Source organism: Homo sapiens, chromosome 8 (genome assembly GCF_000001405.40).
Source record: "Homo sapiens chromosome 8, GRCh38.p14 Primary Assembly".
Classification (NCBI taxonomy): Eukaryota; Metazoa; Chordata; class Mammalia; order Primates; family Hominidae; genus Homo; species Homo sapiens.
In genome coordinates, this window is record NC_000008.11 from 59454668 (window position 1) to 59468385 (window position 13718).

Sequence of the window (13718 nt, forward strand, 5' to 3'; positions counted from 1 at the left end):
TTATATGTGTGATTTAATTATGAATTTTTGTTTTTTCCTTGATATATTTATCTATTTTGATACTAATACCATATTGTGTGATGGTAGTTGTATAATAAATCTTAAAATAAGGCCAAAGAAGCTTTCCAAATTATTTGTTCTTTTACAAAGTTGTTTTAGCTTTTTTAGGTCCTTGGTGTTTTCAAATGAATGTAAGAATCATTTTGCAAACTTCTACAAAGAAGTCAGCTGGGATTTTTTATTGAGGTTGCTTTGAATCTGTGTTTCAATTTGGGGGTTATTGATTTTAACAACACTGAGTCTTGGTCAAGGAACAAGATATATCTCCCCATTTATACAGATCTCTTTAAATTTCTCTCAAAAATACTTCGTTCTTGTTAGTGTACAAATTTTGCCAATTTTTGTCAGAATTTTCCCTAAATAACTCAAACTTTTATTGCTATTGTAACTGATATTGTTCTTTGTAATTCAATTTCCAACTGTTCATTGCTAGTACATAGAAATATAATTAAATTATGTATATTGACCCTGTATCCTTCAATTCTTAGTTTTAGTACCCTTTTTTTCTCAATCTGTTGGATTTTATACATAGAAAATCGTTTAGTCTGTGAATAAAGTAGCTTTACTTCTACTTTTCCAATATACCTATCTTTTATTTATTTTCCTTACCTTATTGCCCTACGCATGTCTTCCAATACCATGTTGAATAAAAGAAGGGAGGGAAAAAATGTTTGTCTTATTCTTGATTTTGGGGAAAGCATTCAGTCTCTCACGATTAAAATGTAACGTTAGCTGTAGGATCTTTGTAAATGCCTTTTATCAAGTTGCAGACGTCCTTTTATTCCTAGTTTGCTATTCCTTCTTTATCTTTTTCTGTGTCTATTGATATGTCCTTAATTTTTACACTTTTCTTTAGATCATAAATTACACTTACTGATTTTTGAACAAATGTTCAAAACAACCTAGGAACAAAACAAACTAGGAACAACCTACTTTATCCTAGGAACAAAACAACCTTTGTTCCTAGGATAAACTCCACTCAGTTATTATGTATTATCATTTTTATAGATATGTTGTTGGTTTGATTATCTTTTGTTAGCATGTTTGCATCTAAGCTCATGAGTGATATTTGTCTGTGGTTTTCTTCTCTTAGAGTGTGTTTGTCTGGTTTTCTCACGAGAGTAATGGTCACATAGAATGAGATGAAAAATATTCTAGTCTATGGCCATAACACCCTGAACGCGCCCGATCTCGTCTGATCTCAGAAGCTAAGCAGGGTCGGGCCTGGATAATACTTGGATGGAAAAATATTCCCATCTCTTCAATTCTGGAACTTATATTTTCTTATCTTCCTTTCTCTCCCTCCCTTCCTTCCTCCCTCCCTCCCTCCCTTCCTTCCTTCCTTTCTCTCTCTTTCTTTCCCCTTCCTTCCTTCCTTCCTTCCTGCTTGCTTGCCTGCCTGCCTGCCTGCCTGCCTTCCTTCCTGCCTGCCTGCCTGCCTGCCTGCCTGCCTGCCTGCCTGCCTGCCTGCCTTCCTTCCTTCCTTCCTTCCTTCCTTCCTTCCTTCCTTCCTTCCTTCCTTCTCTCTCTCTCTCTCTCTCTCTCTTTCTTTCTTTCTTTCTTTCTTTCTTTCTTTCTTTCTTTCTTTCTTTCTTTCTTTCTTTCTTTCTTTTTTTCTTTCTTTCTTCCAACGGAGTCCCGCTCTGTTGTCAGGCTGGAGTGCAGTGGCACGATCTCGGCTCACTGCAACCTGTTTCTCCTGGGTTCAAGCGATTCTCCTGCCTCAGCCTCCCGAGTAACTGGGACTACAGGCACACACCACCACGCCCAGCTAATTTTTGTATTTTTAGTAGAGACAGGGATTCACCATGTTGGCCAGGATGGTCTCAATCTCTTGACCTCATGATCTGCCCATCTCAGCTTCCCAAATTTCTGGAATTACAGGCATGAACCACCATGCCCGGCCGGAACTTATATTTTCTAGAAGAATTTGTGTGCAATTGATACTACTATTTCTTAAATGATTGGTATAATTCACTAGTAAAGACTTCAGGGCCTGGAATTTATTTCTGAGTAGTGTTTAATGACAAATTCAATTTATTTTATAAATACGGGTCTATTCATGCTCTGTTTTCTTGAGGGAGCTTGGAAGTTTTATTTCATTTTATTTTATTATTATTATACTTTAAGTTTTAGGATACATGTGCACAATGTGCAGGTTTGTTACATATGTATACGTGTGCCATATTGGTGTGCTGCACCCATTAACTCGTCATCTAGCATTAGGTATATCTCCAAATGCTATCCCTCCTCCCTGGCCCCCGCCGACAACAGTCCCCGGAGTGTGATGTTCCCCTTCCCGTGTCCATGTGTTCTCATTGTTCAATTCCCACCTATGAGTGAGAACATGCAGTGTTTGGTTTTTTGTCCTTGTGATAGTTTGCTGAGAATGATGGTTTCCAGTTTCATCCATGTCCCTATAAAGGACATGAATTCATCCTTTTTATGGCTGCATAGTATTCCATGGTGTATATGTGCCACATTTTCTTAATCCAGTCTATTGTTGTTGGACATTTGGGTTGGTTCCAGGTCTTTGCTATTGTGAACAGTGCCGCAATAAACATACGTGTGCATGTGTCTCTGTAGCAGCATGATTTATAATCCTTTGGGCATATACCCAGTAATGGGATGGCTGGGTCAAATGGTATTTCTAGTTCTAGATCCCTGAGGAATCACCACAGCGACTTCCACAATGGTTGAACTAGTTTACAGTCCCACCAACAGTGTAAAAGTGTTCCTATTTCTCCACATCCTCTACAGCACCTGTTGTCTCCTGACTTTTTAATGATTGCCATTCTAACTGGTGTGAGATGGTATCTCATTGTGCTTTTCATTTGCATTTCTCTGATGGCCAGTGATGATGAGCATTTTTTCATGTTTTTTGGCTGCATAAATGTCTTCTTTTGAGAAGTGTCTATTCATATCCTTTGCCCGCTTTTTGATGGGGTTGTTTTTTTCTTGTAAATTTGTTTGTGTTCATTGTAGATTCTGGATATTAGCCCTTTGTCAGATGAGTAGGTTGCGAAAATTTTCTCCCATTTTGTAGGTTGCCTGTTCACTCTGATGGTAGTTTCTTTTGCTGTGCAGAAGCTCTTTAGTTTAATTAGATCCCATTTGTCAATTTTGGCTTTTGTTGCCATTGCTTTTGGTGTTTTAGACATGAAGTCCTTGCCCATGCCTATGTCCTGAATAGTATTGCCTAGGTTTTCTTCTAGGGTTTTTATGGTTTTAGGTCTAACATTTAAGTCTTTAATCCATCTTGAATTAATTTTTGTATAAGGTGTAAGGAAGGGATCCAGTTTCAGCTTTCTACATATGGCTAGCCAGTTTTCCCAGCACCATTTATTAAATAGGGAATCCTTTCCCCATTGCTTGTTTTTGTCAGGTTTGTCAAAGATCAGGTGGTTGTAGATATGCGGCATTATTTCTGAGGGCTCTATTCTGTTCCATTGGTCTATATCTCTGTTTTGGTACCAGTACCATGCTGTTTTGGTTACTGTAGCCTTGTAGTATAGTTTGAAGTCAGGTAGTGTGATGCCTCCAGCTTTGTTCTTTTGGCTTAGGATTGACTTGGCGATGCAGGCTCTTTTTTGGTTCCATATGAAATTTAAAGTAGTTTTTTCCAATTCTGTGAATAAAGTCATTCATAGCTTGATGAAGATATCATTGAATCTATAGATTATCTTGGGCAGTATGGCCATTTTCACGATATTGATTCTTCCTACCCATGAGCATGGAAAATCCTTCCATTTGTTTGTATCCTCTTTTATTTCATTGAGCAGTGGTTTGTAGTTCTCCTTGAAGAGGTCCTTCACATCCCTTCTAAGTTGGATTCCTAAGTATTTTATCCTCTTTGAAGCAATTGTGAATGGGAGTTCACTCATGATTTGGCTCTCTGTTTGTCTGCTATTGGTATATAAGAATGCTTGTGATTTTTGCACATTGATTTTGTATCCTGAGACTTTGCTGAAGTTGCTTATCAGCTTAAGGAGATTTTGGGCTGAGACAATGGGGTTGTCTAGATATACAATCATGTCATCTGCAAAGAGAGACAATTTGACTTCCTCTTTTCCTAATTGAATACCCTTTATTTCCTTCTCCTGCCTAATTGCCCTGGCCAGAACTTCCAACACTATGTTGAATAGGAGTGGTGAGAGAGGGCATCCCTGTCTTGTGCCAGTTTTCAAAGGGAATGCTTCCAGTTTTTGCCCATTCAGTATGATATTGGCTGTGGGTTTGTCATAGATAGCTCTTATTATTTTGAGATACGTCCCATCAATACCTAAATTATTGAGAGTTTTTAGCATGAAGCATTGTTGAATTTTGTCAAAGGCCTTTTCTGCATCTATTGAGATAATCATGTGGTTTTTATCTTTGATTCTGTTTATATGCTGGATTACATTTATTGATTTGTGTCTGTTGAACCAGCCTTGCATCCCAGGGATAAAGCCCACTTGATCATGGTGGATAAGCTTTTTGATGTGCTGCTGGATTTGGTTTGCCAGTATTTTATTGAGGATTATTGCATCAATGTTCATCAAGGATGTTGGTCTAAAATTCTCTTTTTTGGTTGTATCTCTGCCAGGCTTTGGTATCAGGACGATGCTGGCCTCATAAAATGAGTTAGGGAGGATTCCCTCTTTTTCTATTCATTGGAATAGTTTCAGAAGGAATGGTACCAGCTCCTCCGTGTACCTCTGGTGGAATTCAGCTGTGAATCCATCTGGTCCTGAACTTTTTTTGGTGGGCAAGCTATTGATTATTTCAGAGCCTGTTATTGGTCTATTCAGAGATTCAACTTCTTCCTGGTTTAGTCTTGGGAGGGTGTATGTATCAAGGAATTTATCCATTTCTTCTAGATTTTCTAGTTTATTTGTGTATTTGTGTAGGGGTGTTTGTAGTATTCTCTGATGGTAGTTTGTATTTCTGTGGGATCAGTGGTGATATCCCCTTTATCATTTTTTATTGCGTCTTTTCGATTCTTCTCTCTTTTCTTCTTTATTAGTCTTGTTAGTGGTCTATCAATTTTGTGGATCTTTTCAAAAAACCAGCTCCTGGATTCATTAATTTTTTGAAGGGTTTTTATGTCTCTAATTCCTTCAGTTCTGCTCTGATTTTAGTTATTTCTTGCCTTCTGCTAGCTTTTGAATGTGTTTGCTCTTGTTTTTCTAGTTCTTTTACTTGTGATGTTAGGGTGTCAATTTTGGATCTTTCCTGCTTTCTCTTGTGGGCATTTAGTGCTGTAAATTTCCCTCTACACACTGCTTTGAATGTGTCCCAGAGATTCTGGTATGTTGTGTCTTTGTTCTCGTTGGTTTCAAAGAACAGCTTTATTTCTGCCTTAATTTCATTATGTACCCAGTAGTCATTCAGGAGCAGGTTGTTCAGTTTCCATGTAGTTGAGCAGTTTTGAGTGAGTTTCTTAATCCTGAGTTCTAGTTTGATTGCACTGTGGTCTGAGAGACAATTTGTTATAATTTCTGTTCTTTTACATTTGCTGAGGAGTGCTTTACTTCCAGTTATGTGGTCAATTTTGGAATAGGTGTTGTATGGTGCTGAAAAAAATGTATGTTCTGTTGATTTGGGATGGAGAGTTCTGTAGATGTCTATTAGGTCCACTTGTTGCAGAGCTGAGTTCAATTCCTGGGTATCCTTGTTAACTTTCTGTCTCGTTGATCTGTCTAATGTTGACAGTGGGGTGTTAAAGTCTCTCATTATTATTGTGTGGGAGTCTAAGTCACTAAGGACTTGCTTTATGAATCTGGGTGCTCCTCTATTCGGTGCATATATATTTAGGATAGTTAGCTCTTCTTGTTGAATTGATCCCTTTACCATTATGTAATGGCCTTCTTTGTCTCTTTTGATCTTTGTTGGTTTAAAGTCTGTTTTCTCAGAGACTAGGATTGCAACCCCTGCCTTTTTTTGTTTTCCATTTGCTTGGTAGATCTTCTCCATCCCTTTATTTTGAGCCTATGTGTGTCTCCGCATGTGAAATGGGTTTCCTGAATAGAGCACACTGATGGGTCTTGACTCTTTATCCAATTTGCCAGTCTGTGTCTTTTAATTGGAGCATTTAGCCCATTTATATTTAAAGTTCATATTGTTATGTGTGAATTCGGTCCTGTCATTATGATGTTAGCTGGTTATTTTGCTCATTAGTTGATGCAATTTCTTCCTAGCCTTGATGGTCTTTACATTTTGGCATGTTTTTTCAGGGGCTGGTACCAGTTGTTCCTTTCCATGTTTAGTGCTTCCTTCAGGAGCTCTTTTAGGGCAGGCCTGGTGGTGACAAAATCTCTCAGCATTTGCTTGTCTGTAAAGGATTTTATTTCTCCTTCACTGTGAAGCTTAGTTTGGCTGGATATGAACTTCTGGGTTGAAAATTCTTTCCTTTAAGAATGTTGAATATTGGCCCCCACTCTCTTCTGGCTTGTAGAGTTTCTGCTGAGAGATCTGCTGTTAGTCTGATAGGCTTCCCTTTGTGGGTAACCCGACATTTCTCTCTGACTGCCCTTAACATTTTTTCCTTCATTTCAACTTTGGTGAATCTGACACTTATGTGTCTTGGAGTTGCTCTTCTCAAGGAGTATTTCTGTGGCATTCTCTGTATTTCCTGAATCTGAATGTTGGCCTGCCTTGCTAGATTGGGGAAGTTCTCCTGGATAATATCCTGCAGAGTGTTTTCCAACTTGGTTCCATTCTCCCTGTCACTTTCAGGTACACCAATCAGATGTAGATTTGGTCTTTTCACATAGTTCCATATTTCTTGGAGGCTTTGTTCAGTTCTTTTTATTCTTTTTTCTGTAAACTTCCCTTCTCACTTCATTTCATTCATTTCATCTTCCATTACTGATACCCTTTCTTCCAGTTGATTGCATTGGCTCCTGAGGCTTCTGCATTCTTCACATAGTTCTCGAGCCTTGGCTTTCAGGTCCATCAGCTCCTTTAAGGACTTCTCTGCATTGATTATTCTAGGTATCCATTCGTCTAATTTTTTTTCAAAGTTTTTAACTTCTTTGCCATTGGTTTGAATTTCCTTCTGTAGCTTGGAGTAGTTTGATCATCTGAAGCCTTCTTCTCTCAACTCGTCAAAGTCATTCTCCATCCAGCTTTGTTCTGTTGCTGGTGAGGAGCTGCGTTCCTTTGAAGGAGGAGAGGCACTCTGGTTTTTAGAGTTTCCAGTTTTTCTGCTCTGTTTTTTCCCCATCTTTGTGGTTTTATCTACTTTTGGTCTTTGATGATGGTGATGTACAGATGGGTTTTTGGTGTGGATGTCCTTTCTGTTTGTTAGCTTTCCTTCTAACAGACAGGACCCTCAGCTGCAGGTCTGTTGGAGTTTGCTAGAGGTCCACTCCAGACCCTGTTTGCCTGGGTATCAGCAGTGGTGGCTGCAGAACAGCAGTGGCTGTAGAACAGCCTATATTGGTGAACCACAAATGCTGCTGCCTGATGGTTCCTCTGGAAGTTTTGTCTCAGAGGAGTACCTGGCCATGTGTGGTGTCAGTCTGCCCCTACTGGGGGGTGCCTCCCAGTTAGGCTGCTTGGGGGTCAGGGACCCACTTGAGGAGGCAGTCTGCCTTTTCTCAGATCTCCAGCTGTGTGCTGGGAGAACCACTGCTCTCTTCAAAGCTGTCAGACAGGGACATTTAAGTCTGCAGAGGTTACTGCTGTCTTTTTGTTTGTCTGTGCCCTGCCCCCAGAGTTGGAGCCTACAGAGGCAGGAAGGCCTCCTTGAGCCGTGGTGGGCTCCACCCATTTTGAGCTTCCTGGCTGCTTTGTTTACCTAATCAAGCCTGGGCAATGGCAGGCACGCCTCCCCCAGCCTTGCTGCTGCCTTGCAGTTTGATCTCAGACTGCTGTGCTAGCAATCAGCAAGACTGTGGGCGTAGGACCCTCTGAGCCAGGTGTGGGATATAACCTCCTGGTGTGCCATTTTTTGAGCCCGTCGGAAAAGCTCAGTATTAGGGCGGGAGTGACCTGATTTTCCAGGTGCTGTCTGTCACCCCATTCTTTGACTAGGAAAGGGAACTCCCTGACCCCTTGTGCTTCCTGAGTGAGTCAATGCCTCACCCTGCTTTGGCTTGTGCAATGTCCGCTGCACCCACTGTCCTGCGCCCACTGTCTGGTACTCCCTAGTGAGATGAACCCAGTACCTCAGATGGAAATGCAGAAATCACCCGTCTTCTGCGTTGATCACGCTGGGAGCTGTAGACTGGAGCTGTTCCTATTAGGCCATCTTAGCTCCATCTCTGGAAGTTTTTATCTTACAAGGAGTTTTTCATTTTATCTAAGTCATCAAATTGTTCATAATACCCTCTGATCACCCTTTTACTATGTGGAGAATCTGTAGTGATGTCCCCATATTTATTTATAATATTATTACTTTGTGTCTTCACTTTGTCTTTTATGATCAGTCTGGCCAGAAAATTGTCAATATTGTTTATCTTTTAGCAGGAGCAGGTTTTTCTTTCAGTTATTTTCTCATTGTTTTCCTGTTCTGCATTTTATTAATTTGCAATTATATTTTAAACATTTTGCTTATTTTGGGTGAATTTGTCCTTCAGATTTACATTTTTATAGTGGAAATTAAGTGCATTGATTTGAAACCTTTCTTCATTTTGCACATAGGCATTCAGTCCTTTTAATTTCCCCAATTACTAGTTTAGAAGCATTCCAGAATTTTGATGAATTATGCTTTCTGTTTTATTTAGGCTAGGATATTTTCTAATTTCTATTTTGATTTATCCTTTGACCCATGAGTTTTTGAAAGTGTATTATTTAGTTTCCAACTTTTGGAGAGTTTCTAATAACCTTTCTGTTACTGATTTTTACTTCAATTCCATTGCATCAGAAAGCATAGTTCGTATGATTTGAAGTATTTTAAATTTACTGAGACAATTTGATTTGCTGAAAAATATTTCATAGTTGTCAGTGCACAAATCTTGCCAACTTTTGGTAAATGTCTCATAGGCTTTTGAAAATGTTGTGCTTTCTGCTACTTGCAGATTAAATGCTCTATAAATATCAGTTAAATTAGTTTGGTTGGTAGTCATCAACTCTTCTGTGCTTGCTGATTTTTTGTGTAATTGAGTTATCAATTATTAAGAGAGGGGTATTAAAATCTCCAAATTTAATTGTGCAATTGCCCATTTCTCCTTTAAGTTTTACCAGTTTTCATTTCTTGTATTTTGAATCTCTCTTATAAAATACATAAATCCTTAAGGTTATTATGTGTGCTTAATGACTTGGTTCTGTTATTATAAAATGATGTTTATTATCCTGAGTTATATTCTTTACTCTGAAATCTAATTAGCCTGATATTAATATAGCTACTCCACCTTTATTTTAGTTAATTTTAGTGTGATACAATTTGTATGCTTTTTTTTTATCCTATTTGCCTTATTTTTCTTTTTTTCTTTTTTTTATTATACTTTTAAGTTTTAGGGTACATGTGCACAACATGCAGGTTAGTTACATATGCATACTTGTGCCATGTTGGTGTGCTGCACCCATTAACTCGTCATTTAACATTAGGTATCTGGCACAAGACAGGGATGCCCTCTCTCACCACTCCTATTCAACATAGCGTTGGAAGTTCTGGCCAGGGCAATCAGGCAGGAGAAGGAAATAAAGGGTATTCAATTAGGAAAAGAGGAAGTCAGATTGTCCCTGTTTGCAGATGACATGATTGTATATCTAGAAAACCCCATTGTCTCAACCAAAAATCTCCTTAAGCTGATAAGCAACTTCAGCAAAGTCTCAGGATACAAAATCAATGTGCAAAAATCACAAGCATTCTTATACACCAATAACAGACAAACAGAGAGCCAAATCATGACTGTACTCCCATTCACAATTGCTTCAAAGGGAATAAAATACCTATGAATCCAACTTACAAGGGATGTGAAGGACCTCTTCAAGGAGAACTACAAACCACTGCTCAATGAAATAAAAGAGGATACAAACAAATGGAAGAACATTCCATGCTCATGGGTAGGAAGAATCAATATCGTGAAAATGGCCATACTGCCATACTGCCCAAGGCAATTGATAGATTCAGTGCCATCCCCATCAAGCTACCAATGACTTTCTTCACAGAATTGGAAAAAACTACTTTAAAGTTCATATGGAACCAAAAAAGAGCCCACATTGCCAAGACTATCCTAAGCCAAAAGAACAAAGCTGGAGGCATCACACTACCTGACTTCAAACTATACTACAAGGCTACAGTAACCAAAACAGCATGGTACTGGTACCAAAACAGAGATATAGACCAATGGAACAGAACAGAGCCCTCAGAAATAATGCCGCATATCTACAACCACCTGATCTTTGACAAACCTGACAAAAACAAGCAATGGGGAAAGGATTCCCTATTTAATAAATGGTGCTGGGAAAACTGGCTAGCCATATGTAGAAAGCTGAAACTGGATCCCTTCCTTACACCTTATACAAAAATTAATTCAAGATGGATTAAAGACTTAAATGTTAGACCTAAAACCATAAAAACCCTAGAAGAAAACCTAGGCAATACCATTCAGGACATAGGCATGGGCAAGGACTTCATGTCTAAAACACCAAAAGCAATGGCAACAAAAGCCAAAATTGACAAATGGGATCTAGTTAAACTAAAGAGCTTCTGCACAGCAAAAGAAACTACCATCAGAGTGAACAGGCTACCTACAGAATGGGAGACAAAGGGCTAATATCCAGAATCTACAATGAACACAAACAAATTTACAAGAAAAAGAAACAACCCCATTAACAAGTGGGCGAACGATATGAATAGACACTTCTCAAAAGAAGACATTTATGCAGCCAACAGACACATGAAAAAATGCTCATCATCACTGGCCATCAGAGAAATGTAAATCAAAACCACAATGAGATACCATCTCACACCAGTTAGAATGACGATCATTAAAAAGTCAGGAGACAACAGGTGCTGTAGAGGATGTGGAGAAATAGGAACACTTTTACACTGTTGGTGGGACTGTAAACTAGTTCAGCCATTGTGGAAGTCAGTGTGGCGATTCCTCAGGGATCTAGAACTAGAAATACCATTTGACCCAGCCATCCCATTACTGGGTATATGCCCAAAGAATTATAAATCATGCTGCTATAAAGACACATGCACACGTATGTTTATTGCAGCACTATTCACAATAGCAAAGACTTGGAACCAAGCCAAATGTCCAACAATGATAGACTGGATTAAGAAAATGTGGCACATACACACCATGGAATACTATGCAGCATAAAAAATGATGAATTCATGTCCTTTGTAGGGACATGGATGAAGTTGGAAACCATCATTCTCAGCAAACTATTGCAAGGACAAAAAACCAAACACCACATGTGCTCACTCGTAGGTGGGAATTGAACAATGAGAACACATGGACACAGGAAGGGGGACATCACACACCAGGGCCTGTTGTGCGGTGGGGGGAGGGGAGAGGGATAGCATTAGGAGATATACCTAATTTTAAATGATTTATTTTTCAATTGCATTTTTTATAGGCAACATATAGTTGTTTCTTTATGATCAACCAGTCTCTGCCTTTTAAATGGGTGTGTTTAGACCATTTACATTAAATGTGACTATGAGCACAAATTTAATTCTCTCATCTTGTCCTTTGTTATCTATTTTTCTTATCTCTTCTTTATTCCTCTTTATTTCTTTTTCCACTTGATTTAGATAATTTTTGTATTTCATTATTTGTTTTTATCCTTTCTACTGGCTCATTAGCTTTTTTGTTTTAGTAGTTGTTGTAAAGTTTAGAGTATACAACTTAGTGTACCCTCAAGTGCTGGCATACACTACTATACTTCTATTTCCCTCTTGCTGATTTTTTTGTTATTTTTATTCACTTTTTAAAAATTACATTTTGTTTAAAACATCTATTATCCTGTAGAAATACTAAATATGAAAAAAGATCTTACATATATACCAATGTAGTTACCATCTCTGATGTTCTTTATTCCATTGTGTATATTGATTTTTAAATAATTTTTCTGCCTAAAAAAATTTATTAACTTTTTTTTTTGCAATGGAGATCTGCTGGCAATAAATTCTTTTAACTTTTGTGTATCTGCTATCATTTGCCCTCTTTTTTGGAAGTTTTTTTGTGTGTGTGTTTATAAAACTCTATATTAAGAAATTTATTTTCTCTTAGTATTTTAAGGATTTTACTCTACTGTTTTTTGCTTTATTGTTTCCAGTGAGAAATTTCTTGTCATCTTTATCTTTGTTCCATTATATGCAATATTGTTTTTTCTTCTGCTTTCAAGATTTTCTTTCTATCACTGTTTTTGAATTTGTTGATTAAGATGTATCATGGTATAGCATTCTTATTTCTTGTCTGTGAAATTTGTTAGGTTTTTTCATCAGTGACTTATAATGTTTATCCATTTGGAAACATTATGACCATCATTAAAAAAATATTTCTTCCCTGCCCTCTCCTTTAGTATTGCAATTACACATATATTATGATGCTTAAACTTGTTCCATAGATCACTGGTGCTTTCTTCATTTATGTTAACTCTCTTTTCTTTTTGTGTTTTATTTTGGAAAATCCTAAGCTATACCCTCAAGTTCAATAATCGTTTATTTTGCCAAGTCTAATTGGCCCTTAATTCTATCCAGTGTATTTTCCATGTTACACATTATAATTTTCATATCTGAAAGTACAATTAGCACCTTCTTAAAATCTCCCATGTCTCTACTTAACTTTTTGAACATGTGGAATAAAATAATAATAATTGTTTTAATGTTCTTGCCTGCTAATTCTAACATCTGTGCCAATTCTGAATCAGTTTCAATCAAGTGATATTTTTCTTTTCATTATGGATTGTATTTTTTTTTCTTTGCATGCCTGGCAATCTTTAATAAAATGACAGAGTTTGCAAATTTTACCTCGTTGGGTGCTGAACATTGTATCCTTATAAATATTATTGAGCATCATTCTGGGATGCAAACAAATTACATGAGGACACTTGGATAAATTTATGTGTTGATTTTAGGATTTGTTAAGTAGGGCCATAGCAGCGTTTTGTATAAGACTAATTATCCCTCAGTAACTATTGAGGGATAAAAACCCCATGAAGGTTTTTGTGAGTACTCTACCCAATGCTCTGTAAATGATGAGTTTTCTCCAGACTTGCTTGTTGGAAAAGATAGTATTTTCAGCCTCTCTAAAACTCTGCCATGTGAAGCCTATTTACATTAGTTTCTTTAGACTTTTTGGTTCTGTGCACTCAACTCAGAGTTTGTTGGGCTTTATCTCAGTTCCTTCTACATGCATTGTAGCTGTAAACTCCTTCAAGATAATAAACTAGTACAATGTTATGGCTCACATTGTTTCATTTCCTGTCTCTCAGCTCTGTCTTTTGTTACTCGATATCCAGTGTCTTAAAAACCATTGCTTTATCTTGTCTGCTTTGTTTGTTTGTGTATTTGTTTCAAGCTGGAGTGTATTCTAATCTTTGGTATTCCATTTTGTCTGGAAGCACAAATTGCCATTTATATGTTATAATTCCTGAATTTAAGTATTCAGCTAGGAATGTAAGCTCATTCTAATCTTATATATCCAATTGCTTATTTTATATCTCTTTGATTGCTGCTAGTTATCTCAAACTTATTTTGGAAATGAAGCTTT

At 37.6% G+C, this 13718-nt stretch overlaps 1 pseudogene, besides 2 other annotated features; it reads left to right on the forward strand.

Moving 5' to 3' along the window:
* RNA5SP267 (RNA, 5S ribosomal pseudogene 267) lies at nt 1218–1343 on the forward strand (annotated as a pseudogene).
* Nucleotides 7315–7816: an enhancer, noted in NCBI's record as "H3K4me1 hESC enhancer chr8:60374541-60375042 (GRCh37/hg19 assembly coordinates)". NCBI's record gives its function as "activates a minimal SCP1, AML or CMV promoter by ChIP-STARR-seq in naive H9 embryonic stem cells {active_cell/tissue: H9 hESC(naive)}" and the evidence as "EXISTENCE:reporter gene assay evidence [ECO:0000049][PMID:30033119]".
* Nucleotides 7817–8316: an enhancer, noted in NCBI's record as "H3K4me1 hESC enhancer chr8:60375043-60375542 (GRCh37/hg19 assembly coordinates)". NCBI's record gives its function as "activates a minimal SCP1, AML or CMV promoter by ChIP-STARR-seq in naive H9 embryonic stem cells {active_cell/tissue: H9 hESC(naive)}" and the evidence as "EXISTENCE:reporter gene assay evidence [ECO:0000049][PMID:30033119]".